Source organism: Homo sapiens, chromosome X (genome assembly GCF_000001405.40).
Source record: "Homo sapiens chromosome X, GRCh38.p14 Primary Assembly".
NCBI lineage: Eukaryota > Metazoa > Chordata > Mammalia > Primates > Hominidae > Homo > Homo sapiens.
This window is the reverse complement of record NC_000023.11, coordinates 153,763,877-153,785,732: the sequence shown is the minus strand read 5'-3', so window position 1 is coordinate 153,785,732 and position 21,856 is coordinate 153,763,877. Positions and strand designations below refer to the sequence as shown.

General features: G+C 65.5%; 2 protein-coding genes and 2 long non-coding RNA genes across 16 annotated transcripts in view; 2 read left to right on the top strand and 2 right to left on the bottom strand.

Annotated features, from left to right (window-relative positions):
* Window positions 3–4,692, bottom strand: SRPK3 (SRSF protein kinase 3). 3 transcript variants are annotated; one of them, NM_001170761.2, is made up of 16 exons: window positions 4,588–4,692; window positions 4,387–4,517; window positions 4,120–4,228; window positions 3,903–3,990; window positions 3,525–3,612; window positions 2,855–2,961; window positions 2,615–2,780; window positions 2,482–2,507; window positions 1,849–1,978; window positions 1,712–1,759; window positions 1,520–1,612; window positions 1,339–1,439; window positions 876–983; window positions 730–799; window positions 560–652; window positions 3–397 (listed from the first exon to the last, which is right to left on the bottom strand). In NM_001170761.2, exons 1-16 carry the CDS (start codon window positions 4,644–4,646, stop codon window positions 213–215), a joined length of 1,602 nt encoding a protein of 533 aa, NP_001164232.1. In that variant the 5' UTR covers window positions 4,647–4,692; the 3' UTR covers window positions 3–212. The 3 variants fall into 3 exon arrangements, with proteins under 3 accessions (NP_001164232.1, NP_055185.2, NP_001164231.1); NM_014370.4 differs by having other exon boundaries at window positions 1,520–1,759; window positions 1,849–1,981; NM_001170760.2 differs by having other exon boundaries at window positions 1,520–1,759.
* Window positions 1,526–6,419, top strand: LOC124905227 (uncharacterized). The gene is made up of 2 exons (XR_007068355.1): window positions 1,526–1,617; window positions 1,970–6,419. It is a non-coding gene; the product is annotated as an uncharacterized LOC124905227 (long non-coding RNA).
* Window positions 6,392–21,484, bottom strand: PLXNB3 (plexin B3). Of its 2 annotated transcripts, NM_001163257.2 has the most exons (37): window positions 21,429–21,484; window positions 20,153–20,262; window positions 19,409–19,574; window positions 17,820–18,860; window positions 17,305–17,484; window positions 16,657–16,785; window positions 16,471–16,571; window positions 15,794–15,926; window positions 15,485–15,641; window positions 15,287–15,395; window positions 15,091–15,205; window positions 14,850–14,975; window positions 14,652–14,768; window positions 14,330–14,423; window positions 14,078–14,247; window positions 13,718–13,869; window positions 13,446–13,551; window positions 12,717–12,847; window positions 12,327–12,503; window positions 12,020–12,215; window positions 11,635–11,874; window positions 11,389–11,547; window positions 11,162–11,313; window positions 10,927–11,027; window positions 10,630–10,853; window positions 10,330–10,508; window positions 10,073–10,139; window positions 9,519–9,846; window positions 9,274–9,377; window positions 8,753–8,846; window positions 8,353–8,525; window positions 8,045–8,205; window positions 7,638–7,785; window positions 7,408–7,472; window positions 7,262–7,337; window positions 7,059–7,133; window positions 6,392–6,798 (listed from the first exon to the last, which is right to left on the bottom strand). In NM_001163257.2, exons 3-37 carry the CDS (start codon window positions 19,520–19,522, stop codon window positions 6,694–6,696), a joined length of 5,799 nt encoding a protein of 1,932 aa, NP_001156729.1. In that variant the 5' UTR covers window positions 19,523–19,574; window positions 20,153–20,262; window positions 21,429–21,484; the 3' UTR covers window positions 6,392–6,693. The 2 variants fall into 2 exon arrangements, with proteins under 2 accessions (NP_001156729.1, NP_005384.2); NM_005393.3 differs by lacking the exon at window positions 19,409–19,574.
* The window catches only part of PLXNB3-AS1 (PLXNB3 antisense RNA 1), a 31,620-nt gene continuing 29,025 nt past the window's right edge, over window positions 19,262–21,856 (top strand). For all 10 annotated transcript variants that reach the window (NR_199693.1, NR_199694.1, NR_199695.1 and 7 more), the window contains exon 1: window positions 19,262–19,350. This is a non-coding gene — a long non-coding RNA (PLXNB3 antisense RNA 1). The remainder of the gene's footprint in view (window positions 19,351–21,856) is intronic.

The following is a 21,856-nucleotide window of genomic DNA, read 5'->3' as shown; positions in this document are numbered from 1 at the left end:
TGTTCAGTCCACACTTTATTAAGAAAGGAATACACACACTTTCTCCGAGAGCCCTCACGGGGGTCTCAGGCAGAACACGCTCTGAGAGCCGGGCCTGGCTCCAGCGTCTCTCTGCCCTGTGGTTGTGGAGAACTGGCGCCCAGCAGGGTGGTGGGAGCTGTCCCGCTTTTCCCTTAAGGCACGGAGAGCTGGAGGTGGAGCCACAGCCGGGCCTAGGGGTTGAGCCAGGGGTGCTGGAGGCAGTCAGCGGCACTGGCCCGCTTTTCGGGGATGTACTCCATCATGGGCAGCAGAAAGGCGCTGAACTGTGTGGCCTGCTCTAGGGGCCACTCGTACTTTTCCATGAGTACCTCGTACAGGCCCCAGTGCTTGAGATTGTGGATGTGCCGCAGCTCTCCTGCGGGCAGGCCAGCGGGCGTCAGGCTCTGTCCCTGTCTCTGGACCTGCCTTCTGCTTAGGCCCTGGCTCCTGGGACCCAGTGTTCCCTCTGTTGCAGAATCCAAGGTCCCCGTCCCACCCTCCCTGCAGCCACATGGCCTGAGGCTGCCCGGGCCCTCACCTCTCCGGTTGAAGAACTCCCGGGAATAGCGGCCTGAGAGGGCGAAGGCTGGGGGGATGTCCCCCAGAAGCTCCACTATGTGAGCGATGTGGTCTGTGGGCAGAAAGAGGAGGTTGGGGGCAGGCAGGCCGGGAGGCCGGGAGGCTGAGCCCAGAGCCCTCACCCCTTACCCTCATCACGACTGTAGTCTTCTCCAGAATGCGGCTCGAACAGGTAGTCACCAGTGGCCAGCTCGAAGGCCTGGAAGGGGGAGGAGGTGAGGCTGCTGGCTGGTGGGCTGCTGGCCCTGGGCACAGGGCAGCCCGGGCGGGCGTACCATGCAGGCTGTGCTCCAGATGTCTGCCGGGGGGCCGTATTCGGCGCCGATCAGCACCTCGACGGCCCGGTACTGCCGAGTCTGGATGTCTTCCGTGAAGTGCTTGTGCTGGAAGCAAGGGGAGCCCTGGGGACGGGCTGGGGCCAAGGCTGTCCTGCCCCCACGGACTCCTGCCCCACCCCGATCCGCCTACCCGAGGAGCTCAGTGGGGTTTGCTGTGAGCCTCGGGGTCCCCAGGTCCTCCAAGAGGGACAGGCCCAGTGATGTGAGGCTGAGGCTGATCCCTTCCTAGTGGCCCCTGCCCTTGGCCATGGCCCCAGTGCTGTTGACTGGGCAGGACCAGTGCCCACCCAGCCGACGGTTCACGTGCACTGCAGACTGGGGTAGGGCTCCCCAAGAGCGGCCCTGTGCCTCCACCCTTGGAGCAGGGCCCCCCACTCTGCTCTCCCACACTTGCTCATACCACCCAGCAGGCGTTGCCCAGGTCTGCGATCTTGATCTTGATCTTATCTGCATTTTGGGGCTCCAGGGGGTTCACCAGGAGGTTCGAGGCACCGAATGGTGCTGGGGAAGGCAGAGCAGGGAGACTGAAGTGGTCCGACTACTGCCAGCCCTGCCTGCCCACCACTTGCCACCCAACTTACTGCTAGGCGACAGGAGGCCCCCGGTCTCTCGCTGATTGGACGAGCCGGAGAGGATGGAGCAGGAGGCAGGAGAGAAGAGGGAGCCGGAGAAGCCTGAGGTCTGTGAGCCCGCGCTGAGGCTACGGCCGCCCCCTGGGGCGGGGGAGGAAGAGGCTGGGGAGGGACCTGCTCTGGCGCCCCCGGGGTGACAGCCTGAAGAGGATGTGGAGCCGCTGCCCCCGTCTAGTCTCAAGCCAGAGTCTGGGGAGACGGGGTGGAGGCAGCTGCTGAGCAGATGTCTTGCAGCCTTTGCTGCGCTCCACGGCCCATCACCCTCTGTGGCCCCTCACCCTCAGCCTGGGTGGCAGCCTCCATGGCCTCCAGCCTCTGCAGGTCCCGCAGCCGCTCCTCCAGCAGCCGCTTCTGCTGTTTCCGTTTGCGCCTCATCTTCTTCCTCTTGTTTTTGGACAGCTTACCGGTCTGCTGTCAGAGCCAGGGTCACCCCAGGGTTCCTGTCGCCCGCCCCAGTCAGCATGAAGTGGAGGTTTCCCTGCACAGCCGCCAGGGAAGAGGCCTCTCCGGGCCCCAGGGCTCCCATGGACACCAGAATGTGGCGCCAGCGCCCCTTGGCACCAGCTACTCACTACTCTCCCTGCCTCCCCGCCTGTGGCCCCACTCCCCACAGCTCCATTAGGAGTGGGAAGACCTGGCCGGCCCGCCTCAGGGTGCTCTCTGTCCCCTCTCAGCCCAAGCTAAGGCAGGCGGAAGTGGCCATTCGGGGAAGACAGCATCCTTTCACCAAGAGCAGTTTGGGGCACTTGACCCCCCCCGGGAATTACCGTCAGCCCAGCCACCCAGCCTTTCGGGATTACCACCGTGGGAGTGCGTGAAGGTGGGGGGTGGAGCCACTGTGGCTCCAGAGATGGCCTCCAGTTGGCTCAGATGGGAGAGGAGGCATGGGAGAGAGGGGCCCCCCAACTTACCAAGACCTCCTGGGGGGCAGTGCTGACTGGGAGTGCAGGTGGGGAGCGGTGGGGGGGGACAGGGAGGAACAGAGACTCAGGCAGGGGTTCAGGCCCAGAGGCCCCGACCCAGCCCCATGTGGGCCCTTGGTACCTATGGAGCGGGAGGGGGGCGGCGCCCCTGCCTGTTGCCACTCCGTGGCCTCGGCAGCCAGGCGCCTGATGTAAGCGTCCCCCACACACAGCAAGATGTTCTCGGGCTTGATGTCCGTGTGGATGATCTTGCACTTGGTGTGGAGGTAGTCCAGGCCGTGCAGCACCTGCAGAGAGTCGCACCTGACCTCCTCCAACTCCCGCCCAGGCCAGGCTGGGCAGCCCAGTGGGTGGCACTCACCTGCCTCACGATGCTCTTCACGCAGGGCACGGGCAGGCCCTGGTAGTTGGACTTGATGATCCATTTGAGGAGCTGGTGGCCCAGCACCTCCAGCACCATGCACACATCTGGGCTGGGAGTGAAGGGCGGCCAGTGGACACCAGCTGCGGCACAGGCCCCACCCACCCTCAGCTAGGGGAGCAGCAAGGCTTGGGCCGTGTGGAGGTGGGGAGGCAGGGCCTCCCCTGGGCAGTCCTGGTCACCATTATGCTGGTGTCATCATCGATAGTGTCCCTGTCAGTCTCAACAGGTATGCCAGTTGGGATGGTGCATTTTGTGGTCATCCTAGAGGTGGCGCTGGAGGAGCAGGCACAGAGGCCTCTCGGGCCAGCCCACTCCCATGCTAGTTATGCCATAGGGCCTCTTGGCAGTCCCCCAAAGGGAAGGCAGTGCCACAGAGACAGCACCTGCCGTTTGGGGATAATAGCAACGTCCATGGACAATCAACGCTAGCTTGTTACTGCCTCCACGTAAACACAGTTACCTGGGGGCGGGGTCGTGCCAGAGGCTCCCGTTACTGGGAGGGATGCAAGCCCATTGTGCGGGTCTGCAGACAGGCTCTAGCAGCGAGGGCCCCCCCATTTGCCGGCCCTTGGCTGCCACACTGCTTTGCTCTTCCTGCAAAGGATACGGACTCCATTGACTCCTGAGATCCTGAAGTCATCAATGAGCTGGACAATGGTCTCTCTTTTGGGGTCACTGGGGTCGCTGTCCCGGACCTGGAGCAAAAGCCAAGGGGCCACAGATGGTTCCACCCTGCCCTGAAGCCCACAGCTCCCTTCAGTGTACCCTTCTCCTGCTCCAGCTGGGCCCTGCTGGAAGAAAGGCCGCCAACCCCTCCTGTCCCTCGCCTGTTCCTCCAGATCCTCCCCCTTGGGCACAGCCAGCTGGAGGCTGCCCCTCAGGGAGCCCCGCCCTGCCCCACAGAGCCCCGGCAGGCCTTGCACCCGCATTGCCAGGCCCCAGGCAGCTCCAGGGGAGCTGGGAGTGGGGTAGGGAGGTGCCTCACACATTTCAGGAGCTTGATCTCATCCACAGCTGTCTCCGTGTAATGCCCCGCACTCTTCACCACTTTGAGGGCCACAAAGCGCTTGCGCCTGCAATACCGAGACCCTTGTAGGCTGTGGCCCTGGCAGGACCCACGGCGGGGATCAGGGTGGCCCCAAGCAAGCCCAGGGACAGGATCCCAGCCAGTGCTGGGCCCCGGAGGCGAAGGAGGCACTCACTGGATGTCCCAGCAGAGCCAGACGGTGGAGAAGTGGCCCCAGCCCAGTTTGCGCACCACGTGGTACCGCCCATTGAACACGTCGCCGATCTTCACAGGGTGGTAGCCGCCTGCCCAGGGGAGATGTAGATTGGGGTGGAGGGGGTTCTCACTCCCCTGGGCCCCCGAACACCTCGGCCCCATTGACCATCTGGCCCATGTGGGCCCAGGACTGCCCTGGGTCCCTGCAGTGGCCGTGAGGCCGCATGTCCCCAAGGCCAAGTCTCACCCTTGCAGTAGTCTTTGGGGTCTTCCTGTTCCTCGTCGTCGGAGCCCAGAAGGCCCTGCAGCATCTGAGGCACCGGTGTGGCCAGGGCTAGTTCGGAGCCCGAGGACTCGGGCCCGCAGGAGGCCTGTGAGCTGCGGGTGGGGTGAGTGGCAGTGGGCATGAGAGACGCCAGGGGCTCCGGGTGCCCCAGCCGAGCCCTACCTGCTGCTACTGCCGCCGCTGCCGCCGCTGTCCCCACCACCGCCCGTGCTGGCGCTCATCCCGGCCACGCAGCCCGCAGCTCCGGTGCCCCGGGCGGCTGCTCCTGTGGGGCCCGGCCGCGGCCTGCGAATTTATAGCCTTGGCCGGCCGCTGATCTCACCCGCCTTTATAAATAGCCTCCCAGCTGCTCGGCTGTGGGCAAGGTATGCGGTGCGGGGAGGGGGCGGCGCGACGGCGGCCCCAGAGAGCCCGGCCCCCGGGCAGAGGCCCCCCTCCTGCTCCAGGCCCACCCTGGAGGCAGAGGGGGCTGCTGCTTGGGGACCAGGGGCAACTGGGCCCCCAGGCTGAGCCTCCGCACCCCAGCTGAGGGGGAGGTCCACGCGGGGGTGAAGCAGCCCGTACCCCAGGTCGGGCTCCCGTTCTCCGGTGCGGACTGTGGGGATGTGCTCCACTTGGCAACCTGGTCCTTAGGCCAAGCCCCCACCACCTGTGCCCCTGTGGGCATCCTCCTGGAGGTGCCCTTCTCATTCCCATGGGAACCCTGTCCCTGGCTGCTCCCAGCCACTTCCTGCTTCTTCTATGTTTCATCAGCCCCTAGGACAACTGGGAGTCCAGTGCCCTCTGAATGTGGCGTCACTGGGGACCCCTCATTTCCCCTACCAGAGGCAACAGGCCTGCTGAGGGGAGGCCTGGGAGCTTGCCAGCCCAGAACCTGCTCCTGCGACGCTGCCTGGCGCTCTGGCTCCCAGCGCCTGCTCTTCCTCTCCACCATTTGCAAGGTGCCTGTCGTGGGCTGCTCCATAGCCAGACATGAGGGAGGCAGCAGGAAGCTGCTCACTGCTGGGGACAAGCAAGCCCATAGCCACTTCCCCATGAGTGCGGTGGTGACTGAGGGGCCTGTGACCCAGGGGCTGCATCATGAGAGACCAGGAGAAATTGGGTCCCCAGAAGCATCCAGGGCAGCACAGGGCACAGTGGGGCAAGGCCTGCGGCCAAGACGCGTTCCAGCCCTTCACGTGCTGGCCACGGCTGCCGCATGGTTCGAGGGCGAGGACTAGAGGCCTGGTGTCTGTAGGCTTAATGTGGAGCTTGGGTGATATGGGGTTGGGGGGTGGTCACTGAGCTTCTGCTCAGCAAAAGATCACTCTGGCCACTTCAAGGACAAGGGAATGGAGAGGCGAGGGTGGAGCCGGGAGGCCAGCTGGGGCCTGACAGAGGAGTCCCAATGAAAGGGAGGGGGCTCGGCAGAGAGGGTGTTTGTCCCAAGATATTGGTGCAGTGTCCCTGTACCAGGGTCCGTGAACTGGTAGGGGTGGGCCAGGCATTGCTGGAGGGGCCAGCGAGGTCAGAGAGTGGGAGGGAAAGTGAAGCCCGGGTACCTGATGGCCTCTCTTTGTCTGTGGGTAGCAGGTTATAGGCATGGGGCTGAGGGACTCTCAGTCAGGAGAGCACTGAGTCAGCTCCTGCAGGGAACAGCAGGGGCTGGGGATTGGGCCCTTTGTCAAAAGACATTTCTGGCCAGGCGCGGTGGCTCATGCCTGTGATCCCAGCACTTTGGGAGGCTGAGGCGGGCAGATCACCTGAAGTCAGGAGTTTTGAGACCAGCCTGTCCGACATGGGGAAACCCTGTCTTTACTAAAAATACCAAAATTAGTCGGGTGTGGTGGCACACGCCTGTAGTCCCAGCTACTCGGGAGGCTGAGGCAGGAGAATTGCTTGAACTCCGGGAAAAAGAGGTTGCAGTGAGCCGAGATTGCGCCACTGCACTCCAGCCTGGGAGAGAGAGCGAGACTCCGTCTCAAAATAAAATAAAAAGACATATTTCTATTTTATTTCCGGATGTGATTTTCCAGCAGGCAAATAAATACAATGGGGAGAGGGGGAAGGAGGGGGATCCTTATAAATTAGAAACAATCTCAGGTGGGGGGAAGGTGGGTGGGCTGGCAGGGGAGGTGGCAGGCAGGGAGCCCACTGCTGGGCACAGTGCCTGGCTTTGCACCCTGTGCCCCCAGGCTCTGCCAGCTCCCCTCAGTGGCTGGCTCGGTTCCGGGGTCATAAGGCGCTGCGGTGTTGGTGGATCCGGCTTGCTGCTGTCTGAGCCAGAGCTCACAGGTCAGTCACTTTGTTTTCCACCAGGGCGGCGACCTGCTGCAGGCGGCAGGCCAGCTGCAGCTTCTGGCCCACAGGGTCCTCCTCCAGGGCACTGATAATCTGCCCGGGCAGAGGAGGGTGCCTGTCTGAGCCTGCCCCTCTGCCTGCTGGCCCAGGGCCACCCACCCTGCTTCCATCACCGCAGGAGCCTGGGGATCCAGCAGGGGCTGCCTGGCGTCTCCCTGGGGAATCAGAATGAAAGCCGAGTCCCTTCCCCAGCCTGGGCCCCGCCAGCATGGGCTGGCACCCCTGCTCCCCCGGGAGGGTCCACGGGCCTCCCGCTCCACTGTGCCTCCCCTCCGGAGTGCCCTGGGCCTCACCTGATCATAGTACCTGTGGATGTGGTTGTAGAGTTCTTGCAGAGCCTCCAGACAGTGGGGAGCAGAAGTGTAGTTCTGGGGGCACCACGTGGAGGGGGGCAGTGAGGTCCCAGCCTGGTCCTCAAGCCCCAAGTCTCCCCCCTCTGCTCTGCTAGTCTTTCCACCCACGTGTGGACAGGCGCACCCCCCGGGCCATGCCTCACCCCGGAGAGCTCAGCCAAAGCAGAGTTCATCTCCTGGTAGCTCGCCGGAGAGCTCTGGCGAATGTCCGCATAGTACCTGGAGGAGCAGACTTCGTTAGGGGTGGGGCAGCCCCCTTCCCCGCAGCCCCGATGCCTCTGACACCCACCTCTCCACCATCTGCTTGTAGCGTGGGATCTCCCGGGCGTAGAGCAGTTTGTTCACTGGGGAATCCTGCTCCGGAGGGAGGGGAGGCGCTAGGCATGAGCTCGGAGGTGAAGGTGCCCCCATGATGCTGCCACTGCCCACCCAGAGCTCTGTGCACAGCCCTCTAGGCTTCCCCCATAAGCCTTTCCTCCTCAAGCCCCTGCCAGCTGCTGCTGCTGGCACTGCTCTCACCCGGCCCACTTTATGCTCCGAGGTGGTACAGGAGTCAATGAAGGTCTGGGCGATGACAGCAAGGATGGCGTCCACATTGTCCGACACCCGTACATCAAAGATGAGCTGTGGGTTCTTCAAGGCATTCACCCAGAACCGCAGCAGCAGACTGGGGGCGCAGGGCAGGCGTGGGCGTGAGGCCCTGGCCTGCCATCGTGATCTCCGCCCCATGTACTCCAGCCTACTGGCAACACACTCGGAGCCAGGGGCCGCTGGAAGCTGGCCTGGTGGCCTAGGTGACCTGGGCCCTAGATCTTCCTGTAAGTTCCAGAAACCCCAGGTGGGCGCATCCACCCTGGGAATGTCCTGGTCTCTCTGGGACTCAGTGGACCATATGCACAGCAGGGGTGGGGCAGCAGGAAAGGCACCTGTTGGTCTTCCAGATGTGCAGGGTCCCTGGGTCCTCGATGCCGTGCTTCTCTGCTAGCTCATCCAGAAGGTCAAACAGGTACTTGACGGCGATGGGGATGGGCCGGTTCACGCTGAGAATGGCCTGGAAGGTGTCGTCCACAAACTTCTGCAGCGTGCCCTGCGAGGCAGGGGATAAGGGCTGTGTGGAGGGCAGGGTGTGGGGGCCATCCACGGCTGAGGCTGCCCCTGCCCCTCCCACACCCTGGCTCGGTCGGGGTCCCTGGCTGAGCCTCCTCTCAGGCCCAGCCACCCAGGCCGCACCAACCTTCATGGACAGCAGACGGGTGAGGTAGATTTCCGGAATGGCCTTGGCCCTTGCTGGCTCGCGCTCCCGCAGGCTGCTGCACCGCACCTTGGCCCCTTCTGGCTCCTCGGTGGCTTTCACCAGGTGCCAGAGGCACACCCCCCCCTCCTCGCCATCCTCCAGCGTGGGTATGTCTGAGGGCACAGGAGCCTGGCTTCAGGGCTATACCCCCTGCCCCTGGCCTGGGATGCCCAGTCCACTCCCCCGACAAGGTGGGGCAGTGTGGGGACTGGAAGAAAGGAAGGAGATGGGCAGAAGATCTCGGTGGGGTGGGGGATGAAGTTGAGGCAGATGCATGGCCAGGAGTTCTGCCTGCCCAGCCTGGACTCCAGTGGCCCCAGGTCAGGGCCGAGGGACTCACTCTCTCCCAAGGGGCACCTCTGGGCCAGGCTCTGGGAGATGGTGCTGCCACGGTGCAGCTGAGGGACGAGCCCCACTGTTGCTCCATCTGGGACCTGGCAGAGATGGGGAGCGGAGGCTGTGCTGACCCCTAGCCAGGCGCCTACACCGCCCACATCCTGCCCTGCCTCGCCCTTCCCCGCCCCAGACCCGCCCTGCCCTGCCTCGCCTCACCCTGCCCCACCCCATCCCTGCCCTTCCCTGCCTTGCCTCGCCCCGCCCCGCCCCCCATCCCCGCCCCAGCCCCGCCCTGCCTCGCCCCGCCCCATCCTCGCCCTGCCGTGCCTCGCCCCGCCCCAGCCCTGCCCTGCTCTGCCTCGCCCCTCCCCACCCCAGCCCCGCCCTGCCCCGCCTCGCCCCAGCCCCGCCCTGCCTCGCCCCGCCCCAGCCCCGCCCTGCCTCGCCCCGCCCCAGCCCCGCCCTGCCCTGCCTCGCCCTGCCCCGCCCCAGCCCCGCCCTGCCTCGCCCCGTCCCTGCTCACACCTTGTAGTGTTGCAAGGTGTTGAGTCTCTTCCAGTGGTTTTGGGTCACGGAGGTCAAGTCTTCGTCCGATAGGGTCAGGTGACCAGCCAGGCCTGAGCGCCACTCTGGAGGGAGTCAGGGAAGCAGATAGTCTACAGCCTGCTCTCCACGCCCCACACTCATAGTAAGACACAGTTGAGGGGCTCCAGGTGCCGGAGGGGTAGGGAAGGGTCCCTGGGGTGGGTGGGCAGGGCTGGCTCTCTCACCAAGGTCTAGGGCATGCACTGAGGGCCTCTGGGAGAAGGGGGTGCCCTTGTAGACTTGGTCCAACACCTTCTCCTTGACCTGGGTGATGGTGTCCGTGTCGAGCACCCGGGCTGGCACGCGCTGCATCTCGCTGCTGCCTGCGGCCCCGCCAGCCCCGGGCCCCACCAGCACCATCAGCGTCAGGGGCTGGAACTCCACGTCCTCCCGCAGCAAGCGGCTATCATTCAGGGTCCGTTTGGCCTTGCCTGTCACGGCGTCCACGGGGCCTTTGTCCACCTGGTACTGGATGGCCCGGAAGAGCATGTACAGTGGTTCACCAGCCACCTCCTGCACTGCCAAGATGAGCCGGCATCAGCCAAGCGAGGGAGGATTGATGATAGCCCTTCTCGCCTCTGCCTCGTCTCCAGCCCCGGAGAGGGTTCAAAGTCCTTCCCTTTCCAAAGCCCCCCTTGCCGGGCCTTCGTCACGTAGGGCGCAGGCAGTAGCCCCCTCATGGCAAGAGGGGAGGAGTCTGCCACTCAGGGCTGGGAGCAGGCGGGACAGTGCCCCTCACCCTCAGGAAGGCGTACAGGCAGATGGACAGCCAGTTGGTGAGCAGTTTCTCCACCATGGTCTCTGTCCTGCGGGGAGCCGGCCACAGGGTCAGGCCTTTGTGCCTGTGTCCCTGCTGAGGACATCTCACTTTCCTTCCCCCCACCTGCTGGGGCTTCCTGGCCCCACCCGCCCCTGGACAGAGCCCGCCCAGGGTGCGATGGGGGCAGGTCTGTGGCAAGCCCTCACCCCCGCCACCGGGTCCAGGTCAAGGCCAACCTGCGTAGCATGAGCTTGGGGTTCCTGTGCACGTAATGGGCCGCCAGGTCACCCAGCAGGGTCCTCATGATGTCCGTCAGGTACTCCAGCTTGCCGTGTAGCGCTAGCGACAGCAGCGAAGCCACATGGCAGCGATCCCTCTGGGAAAAGCTGGGCTGCTCCTCCAGGGTGTGGATGAGCTGAGCAGGGGTCGGAGGCTCATCCTGGGAAGCCCCACTCCTCCCCCACCTTTGTCTCAGGCCAGTAGTTCCCCAGCCCCACCTCCTTGCCCACTGGGCACTCCCGCCACACGGCCCTCACCGTGAGGAGGAAGAGCTTGCTGTTGAGCAGGTTGGAGAGCTGCGTGAGGCCCTGGCGCACAGTGGCACAGTGGCCGTCCTCCCCTGGCCCCTCAGGCTTGGGCTGCAGCGGGCAACCGCCATGGCCAGGGAAGAAGGCGCGCTCGGCGTAGGTGCGGTAGTCCAGGAAGGGGATCCCGCTGCCCTCCAGGTCGCTGCTGAGGTCGGTCATCTCCGTCATGAGGTCTGCGGGGCCAGGAGGCGCCGAGGTGTGAGTTCAGGCCTCGTGGGTACCCTGTCCCCCCGCCTCCGCACCCACCTGTGAACTCCTTGCGGCACTGGTCTCCCACGCCGGTCTCCAGGCTCTCCAGCTGCACTAGCACCTTCTGGTAGTCCCGCAGGGCCTGCTTGCTCTTGTGCCTGCAGCCCGGGGCCAGCTTCATCAGCCAGGGCCGGGGCCAGCATCAGCCAGGGCCGGGGCCAGGCCAGCCGCCTGCCAGGGCGCCCTTGCCAATGGCGAGGAGGGAAGTGTGCTGGGGGTGGGCGGGTCTCACCTGTACATGAGGGTGAGGAGGAGCACGGCGGCAATCAGCACTGCAGCACCCATGCCCACGCCTGCCTGGGCCTCCACGGGAAAGGCAGACAGCGGGGGTTCAGCCTCGTACTGCACAGGGCCCAGGGCCAGCTGCACATTGCCCATCTGCACCTGGGGGGCGGGCAGGGTTCCTGAGTGCATGCTGGCGGCACCCGGTCCACCTGCCCACCCAGGGCACGGACTCACCACGAACTGTGGCAGGCCGGAGCCATTGGCAGGCTGCGGGGCGTGCGCAGGCGGCTCGCAGTACAGGTGGGTGCGCGTGAGCGTCTTCACCAGGCACTCGCCGCGGCCGATGTGCACGCGCACCTCCTCCTTGCTGATGCCCAGGTTGAGGCCCTCGCCCTGGGACACACATGGGAGCCTAAGCCGCTGGCCCCCACAGAGGCGGCCTGAGCACCGTGGCGGGGCAGGGTTGAAGGTGGCCCTCACCTCCACATCCAGGACATGGCCTGGCTTGAGGCGGTAGGGGCGGGCAGGCCCCTCGCGGCTGAGGGGTGCCAGGCGGGGGTTGGGCTGGTACAGGAAGCCCTGGCCCCCACTGGCACTGGCGAAGTCCACTTGCACGTTGTCTAGGGTGAAGAAGACCCGCTGCGGGTGGGCTCTGTCTGGTACAGCAGGGCTCCGGCACAGGAGGAGGCTGGACGAGTTGACGGAGCAGACGGTGGAGCACTGTGGGGCATTCAGGGCCGACCACAGGTGGAGTGAGCTGGGCTCTGCTGTGCGCTGCTAGGGGCATGGCGGCCTACCCTCCTCCTCCCCACTGGGCATGGGCATGGTCGGGGACAGCCTTGTCGCCTGCTGGTGAGGGGCTCACCTGCAGCAGCCCCCCACCGAGCTGGATACAAGCCTGGGGGTCCGCAGCAGGGGCTCCACAGCTCCTCCTTGGCTGTGGGTCCTGGGGCTGGGCCCTGGAAGCCTGCACCTCTGCGTCAGCCTCCAGCCACACAGACAGTAGGGGCCGCTGCACCACGTCTAGGCCGGTGCCCCTGACACGGATCAGTCGCCCACCCCTGTACCAGGATGGCAGTCGGGTGTGGGCGGGCGGTGGGCAACATAGCCCAGCCCGCATCCCACCTTCCCTCCTGCGTGGTGCACAGGCTGGCCTGCGGGCTGACCCTCACCCCCGGAAGCTGGCACTGGGCTCCGCCGCTACAAGCTGGGGGTTGGCGGTGTAGCGGAAGGGGCTGGCGAGCAGTGTGCGCTGGGCATGGCCAAAGACCACAAGGACCGCTGCTTCTCCTGGGGCAGCCTGGGGCCTGGTACGGCACACGATGGCCTCCGGACACACTGGCTCCAGGCTGCAGGATGGGTAGTGGGGTCTCTCATCTCGGCTCTACCACCCCTCTACCCCAGCCCTGGCCCAACCCCCGTAGGAGAAGCCCTGCTTTGCCTGCCTTGACAAGGGCAGGGACCACTGGGGGTGGCCACAGCAACCACTTCTCTAAATGTACCACCCCCACTGAGGCCTATGGGAGTGCCCACCACCCGACGGCAGCCAGGCCGGGACTCACATGGGACAGGGTTGGCCACCCACGAAGGCACTGGTGTTGCCACCTGTCTGGAGGTGCTGACCTCGGATGGTGAGCTGGGTGCCCCCTGCCTGGGGGCCCCAGCGAGGACTCAGGCTCAGCAGGACAGGGTCCTGGCGAACAGCGCAGGCTGGGTAGGCACGGCAGCCCAGCCTGGCCCTTTCACCCCCCTGGGCCATGCCCAAGGCCCTCCGGTTCTGAAGCGCAGGTCATCTCTGGACTTCACCTCCTGGGGCCAAAGTGGACCACGCCCTCCTTCCCGAGGCCACTGCACACTGGCCAGCTTCCTCCCACCCACCCCTGCCGCATGGGGAGTAGAAGTGGGGCTCTTTCATCCTCACTGCCACTCTGTCCCCCTTGGGACAGCCTCCTCCCCACCACAGCTTACAGCCCCCAGACCTGGAGCTCTAAACTCTCAAATCCAGTTGCCTCTTTGGGCAGAACCCACCCCTGCCCTCACTGCTCCTGTCCCAGGCTTCCCACCCAGGAAACGGTGCCACCAAGTGCCCAGGGCAACAGATCCTGAGAGCTTCGTGCCTCAGACTGGCCTGGCTGCCCACCTCCACTCACATGCCATGGCTTCCCTCCTAGACATGCAGCGGTGCTTCCTGCTCCCCGCAGACCCAGCTTGACATCCTTACTAGGCGCCTGTCCTTCCTGGCCCTCCCTCCTACCCTCCCCTGCGTAGGGCACACCTGGGAGGCCACTGACCTGGTAGGTGAAGTGCTGGCTTGAGATGCCTGGTGGCTGGCTCTTAATGGCCACCCGGACGGGCCCAGTGGTGCCATTGGGGGCAGGAGATGTCACACACACAATCCTGGAAAGCCGAGGCCTGGGAGCTGCTCAGGGCTCAGGGACGGAGGGGACAGCCCACCCCTCCCCTGACCCGAGTGCCCCAGGTTTCTTGGCCACAGGCCTTCCTTATCTCTGGGTGGCCATCTCTGAGGGCCTCCCCACCCATCTTCACCCTCCAAGTGCCTCACCGGGCCGACGTGCGGTAGAGAGAGGGCTCAGGGTTGCAGGGCCGGCTGGCCACGCTCACGGCGTACTGCACATCGGCGAAGGCCCGGCCCAGGTTGGAGCCCAGGATGGTGAGGGCCAAGCCTCCCTCAGGGGGACCGGTCAGGGGCTCGACCTGCAGCAGGCAAATGATGGCAGATGGGGTCCCCCGCACCCACGCTCCACTCTGCAGTGCTGGGTGCCCGGCCAGCCAACCAGCCCAGCCAGGCCGAGCTGCTGGGGTTTGGGGGCCTGGGGCAGGGCTGGTCTGATCACGGAGGACAGGACAGTGCGGGGCAGGAGAAGTGGGCCACTGGGCTGTGGGGGCCCGGCAGGAGACTCACTGCATCAATGCTGGGCGCAGGACACAGCAGCTCCACAGCCCCCGGCGGGCACAAGGGCCCATAGCGACAGGCAGGCTGGCCGTCAGCACACCACAGGCAGCCCAGGCTCCTGTTGGCCGCTTGGCAGTGGCTGCAGTCCGGGTGGCCCATGGCGCAGTCGTACAGGATCACTAGGGAGGGTCAGGCAGTGTGCTGAGCGCCTCCTGTCTGCCACCCACCCTGCCCCGCCTGCCTGGCTGCCCTCAGGCTCACCATAAAGAGCATGGGTGTTGTCCAGCCTCTGGGCTTCACCCTGGGTGACGTAGATGGGCACTGGGAGCTCCCGCTGGGACATGGAGGGATAAAACTGTGGGCAGAGTGTGGGGTCAGGCTGGGTGCCCACTCAGGGCACCTCTGACTCTTGTCTCCTCTGGGCCACCCCCCAGAATGAATGTGATTGTTCCCTGCCTCTCCCCCAAGACTGGGGCCCACAGACAGAGGTTATGGGCCCCAAGCAGGCTCTCCACAAAGATGGCAGACCCCTGAGGGTCTACGGAAGCTTGGGGGCAAGAGGGTTTGGAAGGCAGCCACTCACCTGGTGGGCCTGGCAGTGGATGAGGCCTGAATCCCCTGCTGTCTCCTCCAGGGTGGCCGGCAGTCCCCGAAGTTCTCCAGGCAGCTCCAGCCAGCAGTGGAAGGAGGCAGGCAGGCCCTGGGGAAGGACGCTGTCAGGAGTGTGGACACGCTGTTGGCAGACCTCACTGCCCTGTCCCCTTCCCTCCTGATGGCTCACTCGGAAATGTTGAAGGTTCCGCACGCGTAGGGCCAAATGGCTCTCCCAGCCCACAGGCACCAGGTGGGGACCTGCCAGGCCTTCGACCTGTGGGCAAGCCCCTGGGCCACGCACCTGGATGTCCACCTGGGAAAACAAGAGCCCTCAGCCCTTCAGAACTCAAAGGGCCTACTGCTGGGCGGGTCTGGGAAGGGTGGAGAAGGGACAGCCCTGTCTCTGCCCGAAGTTCGGGCCCACCCACCTCCTGGGCGCTGTAGATGGTCCTCTCGCCCTCTGGGCAGTGCTCTCCGTACACGCAGTGGCTACTCTGCGGGCACCAGTGACACCGCCAGATGCTGCCCACGCAAGCGCGACACCTAGAGGGGCAGGGTGGCTGCTCAACTGAGTGCCCTCTGGGGTCGCCACCCCTACCCCAGGAGGCAGGCCCAGGGACTCACGGGGCAGCCGCCTCCAAGGCCTGGACGGCACTGCAGTCATAAAAGGAGAAGTTGGTGGCAGCCACAGTCACGTCCTCGAACATCAGGGCCAGGGGCACAGTGACGTGGTCTGGGAGGGGACAGTGGGGGCAGGACAGGTCAGGTGGCTCATTACCCCTCCAGCCTCCATCCCAGCCCCCTACCCCATGGGCCACTCACCTGTGCCTGGAGGGTTAAGTGGCACCTGGTCTTGGGGAGGGGTGACACAGGCCACGTGGGGCCCTTCCACATGAGCCAAGCTGTCATAGTCCCCGAACGCACAATGGAAGTATTCATCTGCATCCAGGATGGGCAGCCGGGGGACAGACAAAGTGACCTGGGATGCAGCGGGGAGAAACCGGGAGATGTAGCCAGAGAGAGGGGGCAGCAGAGGCCATGGGAGAGGAAGGAGGACGGGAGGCAGGCGGGGTTCATGCTCCAGGCAGTGGTCATGCTGCCCAGAGGGCCCAGTGGTGGTGGGCGGCTTACCTGGCCCTGCTCCTGGCGGGGGTGGTGGCCCGGCAGCAGGCTCTGGATGTGCAGGCAGTGGCTGTCCTCCTCATAACTCCACAGCCACTGGTTCAGCTGGCCTGCCCGCCCGCACTGGCCCTTCCGGGTACACCTGCCAGGCAGGGGTCCATCAGGTCACCGTGGGGGTCCTAGACTCCAAGGATGACCGGCAACAGGGGCCTGGGGAGGCCGGCCCAGCTGGAGTGCAGTGGGGTGCAATGAGCAGGAGGCGTGAAGGGGACTGTGTCCAGAGAGAAAGGGGCCAAGCAGGCAGGGCCTCATGGCCAAGGCGTGGGCTCCAGCCCTGAGAGGCAGGTGCGGCTGGGCTGAGGGACGCACAGTGACTCAGGGCTGCCTTAAAGGATTCCAGGGGCTGCCGTGTGGAGCACCGGCTGGAGGACAGCTGTGTGGGGTTCTGGACCCTGGCTGGGGCTGCTGGGATGAGGAGTCCACAGGCCGGGTGGTGTCGGAAAAGGGGGGTGCCAACCAGATTGACGGCTCAGTGAGATGGGGCAGGATGGGTGACCTCCGTGGTGGCCCTGAGTCTCTCCAACAGGCAGGGTTGGCCTCCCGGCACGCCTAGGGCTACTTCCAGGGGCAGCCTCGTGGCACACACCACCCGTTGGCCCTAGCCTAGGCACAGGCCCCGTGCTCACCTGCCCTGGAGGACACACCAGCCACACAGCGGGTCCTGGGCCTGGAGGCAGCTGGCACAGTCAGGGAACTGGGGGCAGGCTGCCACAGGTATCCGGTCCACCTGGAGGGGCAGCAGAGCAGAGAGGCAATGGGCACGAGACTTGGGCCGCGTGTGCTGGCCCCTTCAGCCCCAGGATGGCCCTCACCTGGTGGGCAGTCAGGACATAGAGGTGACTGCCACTGCTGTCCAGCAGCAGGTCTGGGCTGATGGCTGAGCCTGGAGGCCCCACTTGCTGGGAGTGGTAAACCTGGCCCTGGGAGCCGTGGAGAAAGACCTGAGTGGGGGGACAAGGACGAGGCTGGGCCAGATGGCCAAAGGTTGCCTGTTCCAGGGACACGCCCTCCTCCTAGTGGGGGCTCCTTTTTAGAGCCAGTTCCCCTTCCTGCCGGGCCATCGAGGGAGGACACATCACTTCCCCCACTCAGCACCCTCAGGCCTAGGACACTCTCCAGGGAACCATGACACCGGGGCAGCAGCGGCACCCTGGGTGAGGCCCCGTGTACCAGGGACAGTTCTGCCAGGTGGGAGGGCAGCTATGGGGAGACAGGAAGGTCACCAGGAGGCACCACACCCTGCCCACCTCACCCAGCCACCCCAGCCACCTTCACCGTGAGCCACCACCAGCTGGTGAAGGCCGGGCTGCAGGGGGCAGTGCTCAGCCAGCAGTCACTGTGTGGCAAAGTCCCCTGACCCAACCGTGGGATGCGGGCTAAGAGGTGGAAGTTGCTGGGGGCTTTCCTGAGCCTCCGTGGCCAGGGGCACACCCAGCCGGACAGCAAGGCCGGGCCCTCACCTTGTACAGCTGGCCCTGGGTGTCCCCCAGGAAGGCTATCATGTGCCCATCTGCCTGGAGAGCTGCCACGGCGCTGACCGGCTGCCCGAGCTTCAGCAGAGGCTGGACCTCCAGGGGCTGGCGGCCAGCAATGGGGCTGGGGGTGTGCTCGTCGCCACAGGGGTACGACTCGGGGGAATCCTACGTGGCAGGAAGTGGAGAATCAGCCCCCGGAAGAGAGCAGAGAGGCAGTCAGGGGGGGTACCCAGGCTGCCAGCGGGAGGAGAGCCAGGCACCCTGGGATGACCCCAAGGCCCAGCAATCAGGGCCGAAGGGCCAGGGCACCTGGCAAGCTCATAGCATCCAGAGGGAGAAAGGTGGAAAGAAATGGGTGGAGAGCAGGCAGGAGACCTGGAGACTCAGCTGACCCCTGGCTGAGAGGTTGGCTGGCACTTCCCATGGGCAGGCACCCCTGTCCAGTGCTGAAAGATGCCAGCCATCCACAGAGAGGGGGGATGGAAGGGCATGCCACTCACAAGGGGCAGGGTGACGCAGCGCGACGTGACGCCGTACTCCACGGTGGCTTCCTCTGCGCCGCTGGGGCCCCGGCCGCCCGCCGTGTAGCAGAGTCTCCGGGCCTGCTCCATGCTGGCACCCAGCTCCACCATGGGGAAGGCACAGAGCGCCGCCTGGGTGCCCCTTGGGCCCGCGGCAAACACCCCTAGCAAGGTGCCCGGGGCAAGGAAGGCGGCCTGGATGAGGCCCTGGCCCTGGCAGGCGAGGGGGACCTCCACGTAGGAGTACAGGTTGGTGTCCCCCAGGCAGACGCGGGCCACGTAGGAGCGGTACTCAGCCTGGGCCCGGGCCCCGCGGCGGCGGAACACGAAGTAGGCGGAGCGGGCGTCGGCAAAGGCCCCGACGTAGCTGTTGTTGTAGTCGGAGAAGTCGCCCACCACCAGGCGGCCCAGGCCCTCGCTGGAGAAGGGCTGAGACCCGGCCAGCTGGCGGATGGCCAGGGGTGGCACCCCTGCCGACAGCTTGCCCGCCAGGCCTCTGGCCACAAGCAGGAGGTCCCGGCCGGGCAAGGGCACCACCAGCCCCACCGTTGCCACTCCCGGGGTATTGGCAGCCACAAACTGCCCGTCACCAGGGTCCTCAGCCTGGTACAGCACCTCGGCCACATCCCCAAGGCGCCGTGTCTCACACACGCCCTGCCGCACCTGCCCGCAGGCCACCAGCTCCTGGGCGCGGCTGCTCACCAGCAGCAGCTGGTTGGCATTGTCAGTGAGCTGGGCCTGTGGGCACTCGGCTGGGTCACGGAAGGGCACGCAGTCAGGGCTGTCGATTACAGGGCCAGTGACAGCCACGGCCTCGAGCTGCAGCTCGGGGCTGAGCTGGAAGAGGCGGTTCACTGCGCCGACATAGAGTGTGCCTCGGCCAGGTGCCAGTGCCAAGTGGTTGAGAGTGGTATTAGGTGCGGAGAAGCGATGGGCCCCTGTCAAGGGCAGTGGCGGTGGGGACAGCAGCAGCAGGAGGAGGCAGAGGCCGAAGGGAGGCCAGCGAGCCATCACGGGGGCCTGTGAGAGGGCACAGGTCAGGGCAGTGGGAGCGCAAGGCAGATAGAGGACCAGAGGAAGGTGGAAGGTGGGGTGGACAGAGGCCAGGGTGCTCAGGGCCAGGGAGGGAGGGAGGCAGAGAGATGGAGAATGAGAGAGAGTGAGCGGAGACAAGGAGACAGAGGGGGCACAGAGAGAGGGGGACATAAGGAGGGACAAAGACAGTGTCCAAGAGCTGGAGCAAGAGGCAGGGAGGGGTGCATGCACGCACGCACAAGCACACAAGGACAGAATTCTTTCATCTCCTACTTTATATGCATGTAGATTGTTGAAGGGGGGCAGGTCCTGGAAAGCCGCAAGAGCGCTAACAGAGGGACTGTGAGTCACAGAGGGGGCAGGGATGGAGAGAGGGCAGGGGAGGGAGGGAGGCCGCGGGAGCTGGAAGGCTGGCGGAAGCTGTGTCACAGCGCGCCCCTGCGCCCACCACCCAGACAAGAGAGATCTAAGTCAGGTGAGAGGAGTGAGGCCACCGTGTGCCCCAAGGGACCAGACAGGGAGAGAAAACCTGCCTTGGGCAGCCAGGGCCGGCTGCAAGGAGGAACCCTCCGCAGCTGGGGGAAAGAGCCAGGCAGCCGCGGGCTGAGCAAGGAGCAAGTCAGCGAAGAGGCAGGGGTGAGCTCCATGCTGGCGCCCAGCTCCAGGGCGAGGAAGCACTGGGGCAAGGCAGCGGGGGTGCTGGGAGAAGCCAGGGGTGTCAAGAGACAACACAGGCTTCAGGGGTGCGGGGAGGCCTGCTCCTGCCCCATGGGCCCCAGCAGTTTGGGTCTCTCAGGGCCTGGCACAGGGGGCCTCAGTGTAGGAGTGTCCCAGGAGAAGAGCAGACCAGGAGAGCTGGCTGGGGGAGGGGTCAGGGAAGGGGCAGGGAGGGGTGCCAGACTGGAGATGGTTCCTGGGTGTGCCTGGTGGGACCCCGGGGTGAGCCCCCGAGGGTGAGAGGTGGGAGCAGCCCCTTCTCTGGCCCCTCCTGCCCTCCACAGAGAGATGCTGCCCTGGGTGTGTGGTCACATGCCGACCAGGAGTGGGGCCGCTGCGACTCAGGGCAGAGCAGCGCCTGGAGGAAGGCCCAGGAGCCGCTTATCTCAGGAACACAGGCAGGAAGAGCACGGACACTTCCTGCGGACCCCGGGCTATCTGGGGCAGTGTCTGCCATGAGGGAGGCTGCAGCCTGTATGTCCTGGGCCTGGCCACAGCCATCCTGCCCTACCCTGCCCCTCCCAGGAACATTTCTGGGGACACCGGGCCTGGGCACTTACCATGAAGTGGTGCAGCAGAGGGGTCTCCTGGGCGGCGTGGCACATACGCTCAGTTCAGCTGCCCCAGGGCAGTGGCGATGGGCATGAGATGGCTGCGGGGGGGCATTGTCCTGAGTGGGAGGGAGACAGTCGAGGCTCAGCCCCATTCGAGCTGGCCTGGGGAAGGAGGGGCGGCGGTGGGGGTGGCGCCCAGGGCCTAGCGACCGGGCTCCCTCACAGCTGGCAGCTTTGTCAATAGTGGCCAGGCCAAGGCAGCCCTGCCTCCACCACAACAATGTTCCCTCTGTCCAGAGGCCAGGCCAGGGCCCCACTCGCTAGTGCTGTCACCCCCACTGGGCTGTTCTGGACAGGGGGCTCCTTGCCACTTCCCACCCTCAGGGAGCCACCCCCGGGATCCGGGGACAAAGGGCCGGGGTTTCCTCCAGCCAGCCCTCCCCCTCTGGCCCTGCAACCCCTGTGTCACTAAGCATGCCCCTCCCTGGCTCCCCGGGTCCCTGTGAAGGGCACGGGGTGGACCTTGGAGCCCCTGCAAATGCCGGCTGGTAGCCTTGGGGCCTGGGTGAAGTGCCAGTCCTGGCCCTCAATGCCTGCCTTTGTCCAAAAGATCTTCCTCCACACCCCCAGCCCAGCCCTGCCCCTGGGGACTGGTGAAGTGGTGCCAGGTACAGCATGGTGGCAGCGAGCAGGACCACGGGAGGAGGCTGCTTGAGATGGGCTGAGGCAGAGGGTCCACAGGCCGGGGCTGTCCACCCCACCCTCTGAAGCACCGTCCTGCTGGCCTAGATGCCATCCATGCAGGGGATGGGGAAGGGAGGGGCACCTAGCAGCTAGACCCCCTGTCACCCTCACAGGCCACCCTGGCCAGTGGCACAGGAGCAGGTGCACTGGGGATGGGGTCTCTGCCTCCCCCACAGCACGGCAGCAGTAGGCTCCAGGGCAAGGTGGCAGTGGGCTGCTGTCACCTGGCTGGGCCAGTTGGGTGGCTGTGGGGGTGGGGAGCCAGGCGGGCAGCCTCTCTACCCTGTACCCTGCCCGAGGCTGGCGTTGGCTTTCCCATTTCGGGGAAGAAACATGGTTCCCCACCTCCTAACCCCAGGGCTACCACTTGGGGGACACCGTGCTCCCAGACACCTAGTGCCGTCGTCAGGCTGGGCCGACACCCGAGCGCTCTTGCCTGACCCCAGCCAGTTGGCCCTGAGACCCTGATGCCTTGCCCTGAGGCTGGTAGCCCCTGCACCCCAAGCCCAAGCCCAAGCCTGCCCCAGCTCTTGCCTACCTGGTGGGCCACCGGCGAGGGCCAAGTAGCAGCTGGCGGTGCCAGGAGCACGTCTCACAGAGCCCCAGCCTCCCTCCCCACAATGCAATCGTGCCCAGTCCGACTCATCCCAACAAGCCCGGCCAGGCAGCCCAGCCTCTCTCCGCCCGCCCCTTTGCCCAATGGCACAGGGCAGGATGTTGCTGCCCTCTGCTGGCCGCAGCGGGCATGATGGAGTACTGACCGTGGGCACCTGGCAGGTGAGAGACGGCAGCGCCCTCCTATTGGGTGGGCATTCCATAACCTGGCACGAAGCACCTACTGGATGCCAGGCTTGGGCTTGGCACTGGCACCATCCAGAAACAAACACAGGTTGGGAAACTGAGGCACAGGAGGTTAGGAAACTTGAATAAAGTCACACAGCTAGTATGTGGCAAGGCTGAGTCAAT